General features: G+C 37.1%; 1 annotated feature.

Annotated features, from left to right (window-relative positions):
- Nucleotides 14,587-14,881: an enhancer, noted in NCBI's record as "tiled region #5653; HepG2 Activating non-DNase unmatched - State 12:CtcfO, and K562 Activating DNase matched - State 13:Ctcf". NCBI's record gives its function as "activates a minimal TATA promoter and a strong SV40 promoter by Sharpr-MPRA in HepG2 and K562 cells {active_cell/tissue: HepG2 | K562}" and the evidence as "EXISTENCE:reporter gene assay evidence [ECO:0000049][PMID:27701403]".

Raw genomic sequence — 15,814 nt, 5'->3', positions numbered from 1 at the left:
TTAAAGTCTGTTTTATCAGAGACTAGGATTGCAACCCCTGCTTTTTTTTGTTTTCCATTTGCTTGGTAGATCTTCCTCTATCCCTTTATTTTGAGCCTATGTGTGTCTCTGCAACTGAGATGGGTCTCCTGAATACAACACACTGATGGGTCTTGAATCTTTATGCAATTTGCCACTCTGTGTCTTTTAATTGGAGCATTTAGCCCATTTACATTTAGGGTTAATGTTGTTATGTGTGAATGTGATCCTGTCATTATGATGTTTGCTGGTTATTTTGCTCGTTAGTTGATGCAGTTTCTTCCTAGCATCGATGGTCTTTACAATTTGGTATGTTTTTGCAGTGGCTGGTACCGGTTATTCCTTTCCATGTTTAGTGCTTCCTTCAGGAGCTCTTGTAAGGCAGGCCTGGTGGTGACAAAATCTCCCAGCATTTGCTTGTCTGTAAAGGATTTTATTTCTCCTTCACTTAGAAAGCTTAGTTTGGCTGGATATGAAATTCCTGGTTGAAAATTCTTTTCTTTCAGAATGTTGAATATTGGCCCCCACTCTCTTCTGGCTTGTAGAGTTTCTGCTGAGAGATCAGCTGTTAGTCTGATGGGCTTCCCTTTGTGGGTAACCGGACCTGTCTCTCTGGCTGCCCTTAACATTTTTTCCTTCATTTCAGCTTTGGTGAATCTGACAATTATGTGTCTTGGAGTTGCTCTTCTCGAGGAGTATCTTTGTGGCATTCTCTGTATTTCCTGAATTTGAATGTTGGCCTGCCTCGCGAGGTTGGGGAAGTTCTCCTGGATAATATCCTGAAGAGTGTTTTCCAAATTGGTTCCATTCTCCCCATCACTTTCAGATACACTAATCAGACGTAGATTTGGTCTTTTCACATAGTCCCATATTTCTTGGAGGCTTTATTCGTTTCTTTTTACTCTTTTTTCCCTAAACTTCTCTCCTTGCTTCATTTCATTCATTTGATCTTCAATCACTGATACTCTTTCTTCCACTTGATCAAATTGGCTACTGAAGCTTGTCCATACGTCATGAAGCTCTCGTGCCATGGTTTTCGGCTCCATCAGGTCATTTAAGGTCTTCTCTATGCTGTTTATTCTAGTTAGCCATTCAACTAATCTTTTTTCAAGGTTTTTAGCTTGTTTGTGATGGGTTCGAACATCCTCCTTTAGCTCAGAGAAATTTGTTATTACTGTTCTTGTGAAGCCTTCTTCTCTGAACTCATCAAAGTCATTATCCATCCAGCTTTGTTCTGTTGCTGGCGAGGAGCTGCGTTTCTTTGGAGGAGAAGAGGCGCTTTGATTTTTAGAATTTTCAGCTTTTCTGCTGTGGTTTCTCCCCATCTCTGTGGTTTTATCTACCTTTGGTCTTTGATGATGGTAACGTATAGATGGGGTTTTGGTGCGGATGTTCTTTCTGTTTGTTAGTTTTCCTTCTAACAGTCAGGACCCTCAGCTGCAGGTCTGTTGGAGTTTGCTGGAGGTCCACTCCAGACCCTGTTTGCCTGGGTATCACCAGTGGAGGCTGCAGAACAGCAAATATTGCAGAATGGCAAATGTTGCTGCCTGATCCTTTCTCTGGAAGCTTCATCTCAGAGGGGCACCCAGCCATATGAGGTGTCAGTTGGCCTCTACTGGAAGTTACCTCCCAGTTAGGCTACTCGGGGTCAGGGACCCACTTGAGAAGGCAGTCTGTTCGTTCTTAGATCTCAAATTCCGTGCTGGGAGAACCACTACTCTCTTCAAAGCTGTCAGACAGGGACGTTTAAGTCTGCAGAAGTTTCTGCTGCCTTTTGTTCAGCTATGCCCTGCCCCAAAGGTGGAGTCTACAGAGGCAGGCAGGCCTCCCTGAGCTGCAGTGGGCTCCATGCAGTTTGAGCTTCCCAGCCACTTTGTTTACCTACTCAAGCCTCAGCAATGGTGGACGCCCCTCCCCTAGCCTCACTGCTGCCTTGCAGTTTGATCTCAGACTGCTGTGCTAGCAGTGAGTGAGGCTCTGTGGGCATGGGACCCTCTGAGCCAGGCGTGGGATATAATCTCCTGGTGTGCTGCTTGCTAAGATTGTTGGAAAAGCATAGTATTAGGGTGGGGATGTCCCGATTTTCCAGGTACTGTCTGTCTTCCCTTGGCTAGGAAAGGGAATTCCGTGACCCCTTCTGTTTCCCGGGTGAGGCAATACCCCACCCTGTTTCAGCTCACGCTCCAAGGGCTGCACCCACTGTCCAACAAACCCCAGTGAGATGAACCCAGTACCTCAGTTGGAAATGCAGAAATCACCTGTCTTTCTGTGTCGCTCACACTGGGAGCTGTAGACTGGAGCTGTTCCTATTCGGCCATCTTGGAACCTTCTTCCTACAGTCTATTCTTTGTACAATCAGAACAATTCTGTCCTTTCCTCTGTTGCAAACTTGTCCTGGTTTTATGAGAACTCTGAGGTCTTGCCAGTGTTATTTTTGTTGGATGCTGCTATAAAATGTTTTTTTTTTTTTAAAGTTAGAATGTTCACTAAATGTGGAGTAAAAGTTGAAGATAATCCTTAGATATTGCATGTCTTCTTTAACCAAAAATCTTTGTTTTATAGTCCTGAAATACTGTCTTTTGTTAACAGCAGGAAACAACTTCTGTACCCTTTCCCCCAAAATTTAAGGTCAAATTTAAAACACATTTTTATTTGCTCTTGAAGTTTTAAAGATTTTGCATGCTATGAATCAATGACTATGAGGTGATAAATTTACCTTAGATTCTCAGATGTGTGAGTTATTGTGCACAATTATATTTCTGAAAAAAATCCCTGGGCATTTAAAAGTTGTCTTGTTCCTTGTGAAATAAGGTCCTGCTCTTTCTACTAGTCTTAAGATTTCTCCTAGAAAAGTTTCATTTTTGGTATTTTCAACTGATAAGAAAAAAAAAGAAGGACAGAAGAAAGGAAGGCAGGGAGGGAGGGCAGAAGGAAAAAATATAATGCATGCCAAAATTCCGCATCACTGAAACAAAAGTGAATGGCTAATATTCTACTAGTACAGGTTAAATATTCTTTATCTATAATGCTTGGGACCAGAAGTGTTTTCAATTTTGGGTTTTGGAATATTTGCATATATATATATATATAATATGTATATATGTAGATATCTTGGGGATGGGACCCAAATCTAAACATGAAATTTATTTATGTTTCAGATACCCTTATACACATAACCTGAAAGTAATCTTAGACAATCATTTAAAGTAATTTTTTGTGTGAAACAGTTTGTGTACATTGAATCATCAGAAGCAAAGGTGTCACTATCTCAGCCACCCACATGGGCAATCTGGTTGTCTAGCATCACCATCATTCCTTACTGAATTATATGCTACTGATAAGCCATCATTTTTTACAGTTATTTACACATAAGTACTTAACAGTAAAAAATACGACACACCACTGATACAGTGAAAAAATAATGTGTTCAGGGGAACTAAGCAGCACAGTAGCATCACCAGAACACCCATCTCAGCTGTTAACAGCAACAACGAACAATAGCAGGCTCTTCGTCTCTACCTGTGATGCTGTGTTTTGATTAAAAGATTACTGTACAGTGTATTTTATTTCTGTAAGAAAAATCATCAGAAGCAGTGAAGGATCAGGAAGTGGGTCCTCTGGGGATAAGGAGGCATTCTGCTGGGTGTTTTTTTTTAAATGTTTCCTCTGAAGTAATCTGCCTTGTTAACAACACCTTTTGTCTTACAAGGCTTTCCTTGATTTTATAAACATACATGATTTCTTGTTCTGTTATGAATGCATGCTACTCTAGTCCTTCAAAAAGCTCCTCACACATTTTCGCCTTGTTGTCTTTACATACCTTTTCTGCAGTGCTAATAACGTCATCTTCATTATCACTATTATCAGGATTTCCTTAAATCAGAACCATGTTGGCTATTTTACCATCAGTCAGTGAATGAAAAACTGAAGCCTTACTATCAATGTCAAAAACTTCTTCAGTGTCCACTTTTTCCAGCTGACTAATGGACTCTGAAGGTATATTTTTGCATATGTAAGGAGATCAGGCATTTTTTTTCTCACTTGATATGAGAACCCTTCAAAGTCACCATCTTGTTCATCATCATCTATGAACCTAGTTACAGGCCAGGGGTTGCACCATGCTTATACAACTGTGTCTGTAGTCACTGTGTTCCAAGTATTGGCAACAGCATATATGGTATCCTTCATGCTAAACTCTGTTGGAAAACCTTCTATGCCACCACCTGTGTTCATTGCTGTTAGCATGCTGTTCAAGAAAGTGTTTTCATATTTACTCTTCATTCATGTAAGGATACCCTGGGCATATGGCTGAATTAATAAAGTCAAATTTGGGAAAAAACCCATGGCATAAGCATTACTTTGATGATGATTTCAGCTGGAGGATGAGCAGAACCGTTGCCAAGGGATAACAAAATTTTGCAGTTGTCATTTAGTACAACTTCCCTGCAATGAGTATGAACTGCTGATAGAAAATGTTTGTGAAGCCAATCAGAAAAGATTTCTCTGGTGATCCATCCCTTTTTGTCAGCATAACAATTAACTGGTAAAAAATATATTCCTTGAAAACAGTAAGGATACAAGCTTTGGCCTGTCACAGCAAGTTTATTCTTAATGCATGCCTGCTGCATTAGCCCATCCCAGCACAGTTATTCTGTCCTTGGAATTCTTAATTCCTGTAGGAGTTGTCTCATCAGGTGTAATCAAGGCCTTCTGGGGGCAATAACACCAAAACAGTGATGTTTCATCAATATCATAGATTTGTTTTGGTGTCAGATTTTCATCAGCGATGACCTCAGCAAACTTGTGAATGAATTTCTCTACTGCTTCATTACCACAAATCTTTAAAAAATTTAATGTTGTGGTTTTTCTTACATTTCTGCAAGGAGCCTATTGAATATTAACAGTTCCCTTCAATTTTCAGTTGATCAAGGTAGATCTTTATTTGTTTTATACTCAGCATACTATTATGTGGCACTGTTCACTGCAATGCTAATGAATCCATTTTTCATTACATGACGGAGATCTTCATTTTTAGATTTATTGAGTGTTTTCTACTTTTCATTAATTTCTGTGCATCATTTTCAGCACAGAACTTCAACATTTTATCCTTCTGTCTCTTCAGGTCATATATGTTGGTAATGCCCATACCATTCTCTTCTATAATACATTTCACACACCACTGTGCAGTTTCTCCAACAGCTTAAATTTCTGTGCTACAGATAAACATAAATGCCTCCTTTTTTTGCCACTGTTACTCATAGGGGTATTTACAGGTTTTGTTGACATTTTCAACAGTATATTTATACCACAGAGCAGAGAATAAGCAAAAAACAAACAAACAAACATACAAAAACCCACAGTGAGGAATACATTTAGGTCTTGGCCCTATGCGGGGCATTGCTGGTGTGTCTGGCCCACATGCATGCCATTTTATTACCCTTTGTGGGTGTGATTGCATAGGGGAATTTCAGCATGCATAGAAAAGATATAGTACAGCTGAAAGGGGCTAGAAGGCTCTTTTTCCCTTGGAAACACTAAATAAGCTGTGTGTTACACACCTATCACTTGAGGTCAGGTGTGGAATTTCTACTTGTGGCATTATGTCAGCATACAAAAATTTCAGATTTTAGAGCATTCCAGATTTTTTTTTTTTTGCATTAAGGATGCTCAATCTATAGTAATACTACTTTTCCTAGCATTACTACCAATGATAGTAATAGCAACAATAGCCATTTGTTGAATATTCTCTATGTTCCAGGCCAGAACAAAACATTTTACAAGCATCATCTCATTTAGTATCCATGCTACAATTTAATACTGGTGCAACAAGATGTTAAATAACTTACCCCTGGTTACCCAGATAGTGGGTATCATTGCTAAAACTTGAACCCAGGTCTCTTAATCTGATGCTCTGATGCTATCTAACGCTACTTTACAATATCCCTCATCATTAAATAATGAATACAAATTTTAAAATATACTTCAAGGTTATGTTAAGAAACTGAAGATATTTCTGGTTAGGGTTTCTGTTTCCTCCATTGAAAAGTAGATTGTGTTTCACAGTTTTAAATCACAACAATTCCATTAGCATTCAGCTTTTGCTGTGAAAGGGTTTGGATCTTTGCCATAAAATCCTCTTTAAAGTAAAATTTGGCCAGGCTGTAGCCTAGAAGCAATAGTGGGGCACAATTGATCTACTAAAATAAAATTGCCAGACTTGAGTGGTCTAGCAACCATAATGTAGAATGCTGACTACACAGATTTCAAAGGTCTTTTTTTTAATGTCAATGAAGTACTAATTTTTCATGTTCCAAGATGTTCACAAGTAGTCTACATATATATATTTACTTATTTTGGAATCAGGCAATCAATTATAGAATGGTAATTCTATAAACCATAGCTAGAAAAAGAGGCTTTCTTCACATTTCCCAATTCTCTACCCAACTCAAATTTGTGGGAATTTAGGGTAAGGAACATGTAGCCTGCACTGTAGCTTACAGGATTGATATCTTACTGGCATTTTAGAACTATTGGTCCTAAGTGACAGAAATTCAAAAGAGCTTTAGCAAAAAATAAATTTTGGATTTCTGTAAATGTGAAGTTTGGGACTGTTTGCCTTCAGGTGTATCTGTCCAGTTGGTCTAACAATGTCATTGTTAGATGACAACTTTGCTTCCTTTATATGTCCTCAATTCCCAGGCAGGCAATATTCGAATGGGGGCAAAGATGGAAAATATTTTGTATTTAGTTTAGTACCAATATAAGAATACAGGTGCCTCTGTCCCTGTCACTTCAGCCAAAGCTCCTGGAATGGCTACCAGTGCCTCCTATTGTGTCATGTACTCACCCCTGAGTAATTACCAAGGCCAAGTACAATAGAGTGCTCCGAATGACCACTCAAGCTTGGTACTTGTATTGTAATAGATTGATTTTGTTCCATTTTTGATCCTAGGCTACAATTCTGCCGAATTTCACTTTAAAGGACATCTATCCACTCCTGAAGCTGAGGACTCAAGTCAGTCCCAATCAAATGCCACCGTGGTGGGAAAAATGGAAGAGAAGCTGTTTCTGTTACTAGAAGAAGGACAAATAGATGTTGGTCAGACAAAACAAAAGTCTAGTATACCTGGATATGTTTTTGTCAAGTGACAGAGAAATACAGTAATCTTTCATCAACATCTCATTTTTTGACATGAAATTCTACTTTACCCCAGTTTACTTTAGTTTAACCTTTCTATGCCCTGGCAGATTTAGGACTTGACATAAACCTGTATTTCCAGTCACTTATCTTGGTGATAATTGGAGAGATAATTAAACACCAGCATAGAAAAATGGGGATAAAGTGTGCTGTAGAGCAGGAACTGAACTATTTAGGAAAAACTTATGAAACATAAGAAATGCTAAACTCTACCTTAGAGATCTTCCAACGTCATTAAAAGCAAGTGGTGTATCAAAAAGATTGATGATGTCTGCTTTGGGGTGACTTGACCTTAGATAAAACCAGAGTTTTATGCCTCACTATATATTAACAGGGAGTTTTAAAAATTAGCATCTCAGCTAAGCTGTTTCCATGGCGAGCCTCAAAGTTACTGTCTGTCTCCAGGACTGTGGTGAAATGTAGGAGGTGAGAATAAACGAATACAAATAATATCAGAAAGATATTAAACATTTAGTAGAAGAAATAGGTACACAGAATAAATTTTAACATTCCTATTATAAGCAGCAAAGAAAAGCTAATCAGTGAGTATCTGGTTGAAATTGTAGGAAAGAAAACTGTTAAATGTTTATAATGAACAATGAAATGCAACTACAAATTAATTGTACAGTGCTTATTATTATGAGCTAGGAGTAATAATAGTATCTAACACATAAAGCTATTGTTAGAATTAAATGAGACCATAGTGCACAGTGCTAAGCTCAGATGAACTCCTCAAAAATCGTTAGATATTATATTGAATTTAAATATCCTTCCATATTATTTCATTTAAATTACAGTAAAAACATTGATAACAACTTTCATCATTTCCCTGATGATCTTCTTCCTTGAGTTTAATTTTCCCTGAAGCTCTTAAAAGTTTCTCAATCATGCATTTTCCAAGTAGTTTTATGAACCAAGCTAGTAAAGCTACTGTGGATAATACATTGAGTGTATGCCATGGGCTATGTGGGAAAATTGTAGATGAGTGAGCTGAAAGGACCTCAGAGGAAACCTTCCCTTCATTGCAGCCACACAGATTTTGGGAAAATGAAAAGAGAGAGGGTTTGGGCTCTGTGATGCTGCAGTTTTGCTCAGATGGAAGAGTTATTGGGCCAGTTCCTTGGCAGCATTTACAGAACTACAGCAGGTGCCTAGGGAGGCTTTGGTATTTACAGAAAACACCCTGTTAAGCAACCCTTTATTCTTTCACCCCCTTTTGGTCCCACACCAATCTATTATTAGTTCTGTAGCCAGAGTCATCTTTTTTTTTTTTTTTTTTTTTTTTTTTTGAGACGGAGTCTCGCTCTGTCGCCCAGGCTGGAGTGCAGTGGCGGGATCTCGGCTCACTGCAAGCTCCGCCTCCCGGATTCACGCCATTCTCCTGCCTCAGCCTCCCAAGTAGCTGGGACTACAGGCGCCCGCCACTACGCCGGGCTAATTTTTTGTATTTTTAGTAGAGACGGGGTTTCACCGTTTTAGCCGGGATGGTCTCGATCTCCTGACCTCGTGATCCGCCTGCCTCGGCCTCCCAAAGTGCTGGGATTACAGGCGTGAGCCACCGCGCCCGGCCCAGAGTCATCTTTTTAAGACACATCTGTTAGTCTTGATGAATGTACTGCTTAAGCAAGAAAAGCAGTCATCTGAGGGATTCCAGGTTTTTCTCTCTCCCTATTTCTCACCCTTCACAGCCCATCAGACTTGTGAATTCTTCCTCACAAATGTTCTAGGTATCTTCCTCATTTTCCATCCTCACTTCCACGAGACAGGTACAGGTTTCTATTGTCAAGTCCTGGGACTATTGTGGGAGTACTTTATTGTCTCTCTCTGCTTCTTGGCTTGTTCTTTTCCAAGCTTTCTTCCAGAGAATAACCAGAAGGATATTTATCAAATATAAATTTGGCATTTCACTCCCTTATTTAACATTCTACAGGGGCTATCCCCTGACTTACAGGACAAAGCCTAAAATCCTTCATATGGCTTTCAAGGATATCAGTGATGTCTCCGGCCAAGTGTCCAGCCTCAATTCTTAGGCCCTGCTCCTCCCAATAGTTGGATCTTTAACTTCCAGCCATTTAAATTATGCAAAGCTCCCTTACTGTGCCATGATTTTTACCCTCTGAAGTTGCATCTGCCTTTCCTTCTATCTAGGACCCTCTCCTCCTGCATTTCCAGAAAATTCTTGCTTTTATAAGCTTCAATTCAAAAGTTTTTTCCTATGAAACCTTCATTATCATTGAAGGTCTTTAATTCATTTACTCATTCACTTTTGTTTTTGTTCAATTTTATTGAGTCCTGATTATGCACTGGGCCCATAAATGCTCCTTCTGTTCTGTTCCCACTAAACTTTTCTATTCAGTTATAACAGTGTTCTTATTATGCCATAATTTGTGTTTTTTTTTCCTGTCTTCTTTTTAAAAATACTTAAAGACCTTTAAGGACAAGAGCTATATCTTTTAATCAAATCCTCACAGCTTAGACTAGTGCCTGGCACATAATAGGTACATATTCAATAAGTAATTGAATGTGTGAACTTACCTAGAAGAGTAGGAAAAATTAAAGAGGCACTTGGGTTGGGATTATTCTAATAGGGGTTACCTATGCTATGCTCCTGCCAAGACCCAACCCTGTATACTCTTTGCCTGTTCCTCTGTAGAGAAGCACTGAGCAATCATACTGAGTAGTTGTTGTTTTGTCCTCTTCCTTCCATGTGAGATAGCTCTTCATTTCATCTGATTGGTACTGCCCACTTAACACTCAGAACAGTAGAGGAGCTAGTTGTCTAGAATCCTTATTAGTAAAGAGAAACTTGGGATGAAATAATATCAGAAGATACTCAGTAGTAGTTGTGCAGATCCAGATAACTTTTGAGAACCATTTTTCTCTTCCCATTTTTGGGAAAATAAGATTCATGCCACTTTTTGCATTGTTACTTTGCCTTCCCACAGCCAATAAATAGGTAACTGGTTGCCGTGAGGAGTAACTATTTTCCTGATTAATTGGATGCATTAGGAGATGCTGATGTGTAGTGGGAATCTTAAAACATACTACATATTCCTGTTGCCAAAATATATTCATAGATGGTTTATTTTCTTTATTTTAAAGGAGACTCATGGAATGCTGAAGCACATATGGAACTTTGCACAGTGCTTTCATTCATTTCCAGCTATGTTTATGCACTTTTGTTTTTGTGGTAACATTTGGGTGGCTCCCAAACATAATTATTATACCATTGTTTGAAGTTTTGATTCAAGAATGAATTTGAAAAATAGCTGTAATACCTGGTGCCATTTATATAATATACTAATATGCTCTTATTGTGGCATTCTGGTTAATGAAAAGCATTAAATTAATGTATAAATCAAAGGGAAAAACAAAACTGAAATTACAAGCTCACCATAATGTAATTAAAAGCAGTATGTCTCATATCAAGTTATGGTAAATAGCAAAATTTACCAAGAAGACAATTTACAGCCTTAAATGCCTTTATTGTTAATAAAAACAATTAAAGAGTAAGAGATAGTGACCATCTTAAGAAATGTGCAGAATAACAACAAAAAAGAACAAAAGAATTTAGAGAAAGAGAATTAGTAATATTAAGGTGAAATTAATTTTAAACACTTTAAAAATTAATAGAAAAGACCAACATATCAAAAAATATTTATTTCAAGACTATCAAATAAATTATTTGACTGTTATTAAAAGTGAAAAACAAAATGAAACAAAAAGTGAAAATAAAATTGAGAAAGGAGACATAACTCTAAGTGCAGAATAAACTTAATTAATTATACATTACTAAATACAAATTAATATTCAAAACTTTAAAAGCCAAAGATGTTGATCTCTTAACAAAATGTAAATGACCAAGATTGATTCAAGAAAAAGTGAAAAAAATGGAATGACCCAAATAAATATAATAGAAGCAATAAAAAGATTTGCCATGTAGAAAGGCAACAAAACCAGTTTCACAAATAAGTTCTTTCTGACCTTTACAGAAAATAAAATTTCAAAGATTCTTAAATTCTTCCAAGTAATGAGAAGAAAGTGGAAATCTTTCTAATTCATTTTTAAAGCTAGTATAACATATAGTTTGGACATTTGTCCCCGCCCAAATCTTATGTTGAATTATAATCCCCAATGCTGGAGGTGGGTCCTGGTGGGAGCTGTTTGGATTATGTGGGCAGATCCCCCCGACTTGGTCCTAGCTTCATGATAGTGAGTCCTCATGAGATCTGGTTATTTAAAACTGTGTGGCACCTCCCCTCCACCCCACTTTCTCTCTCTTGCTCCCACTTTTGCCATGTGATGCGCCTGCTCCCCTTCATCTTCCGCCATATTATAAACTTCCTGAGACCTCCCTAAAAGCCAAGCAGATGCCAGAACCATGCTTCCTGTACAGCCTGCAGTACCATGAGTCAATTAAACATATTTTCTTATAAATTACCCAGTCTCAGGTATTTTACAGTAATGTAAGAATGGCCTAATAAAATAGCAACAATGTTAAAGCTGACAAATATACTATAAAAAGAAAAATATAAAATATAGTTTGCAAATATAGATGCAAAAATTCTAAAGAAAATATTTACAAATAGAATCTAGAAATATATTGAAAACTAAGTAGATTTTATTTTAAGAATACAAGGATGGTTCAATATCTGGAAATCAATCAACATCATTTATTACATAATTTTGTTTAAAGGGAACCATATGACTAAACCATTAAATGCTAATAAGTATTTCAGACAATCAAATAGCCATTTCTAACAAAAATATAAGTGAAATAAGAAGGAAACTGCATAAATAAGATATTGGTTTCCCCAAATCCAATATCTAGTGATTATTCTGAGTTGTTAAACAAGAAAAGTATTTCAATTAAAATCAGATATTACACAGGGATACCTGTTATTACCACTGCAACATTGGGAGATTCGAGGGAATGCAATAAGTTAATAAAGTGAAGTAATTGATATAAAGGCTATTGGTGGAAAAATTGTGCATTTGAAAATTCAAATTATATGTAAAAGCTTCTTAGAAAAAATGTGGCATGGTATCTGCATAAGAAACAAATATAAAAAAAGTGTTTTCTTAGAAATAGAAATATGTAATTTCCTCATAATATGACTATTCCTTCACAACAGTAATTAGACCTATAAAAATCTTAAAAATAAACTTAAGATCAACCCCCCAAAATAGAGAAAACTAAAAAAAAAATTGACAAAGGACATAAAAGACAAATGATAACCTTGACTATATTCTAAGATGAGAAGAGTTAATATCTTTAAAATGTCAATCTCCACAAAAGTGATGCATAAATTTAATGCATTTTCATCCCATCAGAATAACATTAGCATTTGGTTTGTTCATTTTCAAATTGAATATAATGAGCTTAAGATTCCTATATAACAATACATTTGATGACAGCCAAGAAAGAGTGAAGAATGGTGGGAAAACATTTGACTTACATGAAAATAAAAATATTTTAAAGTAAATAAAATAAATAATGAATTAGCCCATGATATAAAATCAGGCCAGGAGAAGGGAGGACTCAAAATCCTCCAGAATACACAAACATTAAATAGATGACAATGCTGGTATTTTTCTTCAGTGAGGAAAGCCGGTTTATTTAATAAAGAGTGCAGACAAAACTGGCTTTACTCCTGAAGGAAAACAAAATTAAATTTCTTTGAATTTTTTTATCCAAATGATATAAGAAATAAATTTTAGATAGAACAGAGACCTAAATATAAAACATAAGACAACGAAAAATTGGGAGATTAAATGTACTATCTATAGGTAGAAGAAACCCTTTTAAATAATGTAAGAAATCTAGAAGCTATGAAGAAAAGTATGTATTTGGCTGTGGAAAACACATGGCTCATCCAAGGGCTATTCCCTTCTTTTGTAAGGAGAACTTTCTTGGGCAGGGTGTGGTGGCTTACATCTGTAATTCCAGCACTTTGGGAGGCCAAGGTGGGCAGATCATTTCAGGCCAGGAGTTTGAGACCAGCCTAGCCAACACGGTGAAACCCTGTCTCTACTAAAAATTCAAAAAAAAAATAGCCCGATGTGGTGGCACACGCCTGTAGTCCCAGCTACTAAGGAGACTGAGGCAGGAGAATCACTGGAACCTGGGAGGAGGAGGTTGCAGTGAGCCGAGATCATGCCACTGCACTTCAGCCTGGGTGAGAGAGTGTGACTCCGTCTCAAAAAAAAAAAAAAAAAAATAGCCGTATGTGAGGGCACACACACCTATGTAATCCCAGCTACTCTGGAGGCTGAGGCGCACAAGAATTTCTCGAACCCAGGAGGTAGAGGTTGCAGTGAGCTGAGATTGTACCACTATACTCTAGGCTGCATAGCAGAGAGAGACTCTGACTCAAAAATAAGATAAAATAAATAAAATAAAATAAAATAAAATAAAATAAATAAAATAAAATAAATAAAATAAAATAAAATAAAATAAAATATAAAATAAAATAAAATAAAATAAGAGAAAGAGAGAGCTTTCTCACTGCCCCAGTACCTCTGCTTTCTACCTTTGAACACAACCATGTGAAAACACCATGTTTGTATCTTAGAAGCTATCTTATGTCTAACAGTCAATATTTAGGCTTAGGATAAAAAGCTAAAACACTTAGATGAAAGAGCAAAAGGATGAATGGAAAGGGGATGAATCCATGATGTTCCCTCTAAGCCAAGGAACTATCTTAGAATTTCACATCCAAATATCTTGTTGGTAAGATTTTTTTAAAAAATTCTTTTTTGGAAACTGTTATTCAATTACTTGAGTAAACTTTTTTGTAGTTGATTTGGCTAATATAAGCACTTAAAATGTACAGCAAATAGCTTAAAGTCAGTTTTTGTTTTCAAAATGGCAGCACAGAATCAATCTGGCTTCACTACGCACCCCCACCCACAACAGAAAAACCAAAACCAAATAAACAGCACTGAGATTATCACCAGCATTATCCCAGAATTCAAATATAAAGATGAGACAGTTTCCAGGGCCACAAGTAAGTGAAAAAACGTTGAGCAAATGATAAGGGAATTGGACTTCCATACCTGTGATGCCCCTCCCATCAGTCAGCTTGGCACCAAGCACATGGGAAGTCTGCCTCTAACTCATGGTTTCTACACTAGAAAAAGTGAGGTCATGGCAGATGGCCAGTTTCCCCATCATCTTGGGTTCCCTGGCAGGATATCTGTCCCTGCTTCAACACAGCAAAGCTTTCCTAGTGCCTGAAAGGAAAAATATTCCTTAGGATAGGCAGAGACAAAATGTGGAGATGGGACTACCATCCTCAGCCAGGGAAACTCTGCTCTGTAGCTCAGCCAAAGGAGACGCCAAAGCAGAGTGGTTGTTCAGCAGCATCACCCTGTAGGAAGTACTTTACACAGGTCCTCTGCGCATGAACCAGTCTTCCCACACAGCCAGGATACTATCTGTTTGGGACCCACCCGATTCAGGTCAGGCAGCGTTCTGTTTGCTAGAGCACAGGCAAAGCTGGCTTTCAGGCGCCATCTAGTGCCAAAAAAGAGGCAGCAACCTAGTGGGGAAAAAAGAAAAGGAATTCATCAGGTAAATTACAAAGACTCTAACAAAATGTGTCCAATTATAAAACAAAACAAGCCAGACAGAAAAGACTGGAATCAGTAACTAATCATTCAATGCAAATACATAAATGTACACCCACAAGAAACAACAGCAAACAAGGAGGAACTATGACCTCTCCAAATAGATAAAACAAGGAACCAGTGAATGACCCTAATGAGCACTATATGAGCTCTCTGAGCAAGAATTCAACATAAAGTAAAAGTCAAGTGATAGATTTGGGAAAATTGAGCCATAATAGAAAAAGAATTCTTAAAAAGTAATAAAAGTGGAAAATATATAAATAACTAGGTGGAAATATGAGCAAAATATATGACTAGAGTTTTTACAAAAGGGCAAGTGCCAGTGACCTGTTAACATATGAAAAGGTTCCTAGACTTCCAAGTAAACAGGGAAATTAAAATTAAAATGACAATTATATGATTTTATACACAGCCAACTGGAACATTTAAAAATGTATTAGCCATTTTTCATAGAGATTTGCAGAAAAGTATTCTTCTATGCATTGATAGTGAAAGTGTTGCTATAACCTCTTTGAAATAACAATCTGGGAAAATCTATGAAAATTTAAAATTCCCTTTGATCTAGTAATATAACCCATAGGAAACTCACCCATAAATATGAAAGGGTAGATGTAGAAGAATGTTTAAAACAGCATTATTCAAAATAGTAAAGTTCTCAAACCAAAACTTCACACCTTGGAATATCATGCAGCCACCAAGAGAAATGAATTAGAACGGTTACAGTTTACTCAGAGTTTTCCATGATCAGAGACAAAAACAAGGTGTCAAGTCACATTACATTATAATAGGTTTGAATTTTCTTTTAAACAACACCACAAACAAGTAAATGCCCTGTATTTTCAACTCCAGTATTTAAGATTGTTCTTTACAGGCACCCCAGGGCCTGTTCCATCACTCTTAATATATAACTAAATGATTAGAGCATTAATGATATAAAACATCCACCTGAATTATTAACTACTTATC

This window comes from Homo sapiens, chromosome 2, assembly GCF_000001405.40.
Source record: "Homo sapiens chromosome 2, GRCh38.p14 Primary Assembly".
NCBI classification, from domain to species: domain Eukaryota; kingdom Metazoa; phylum Chordata; class Mammalia; order Primates; family Hominidae; genus Homo; species Homo sapiens.
This window is presented reverse-complemented; position numbering and strand designations above follow the sequence as displayed.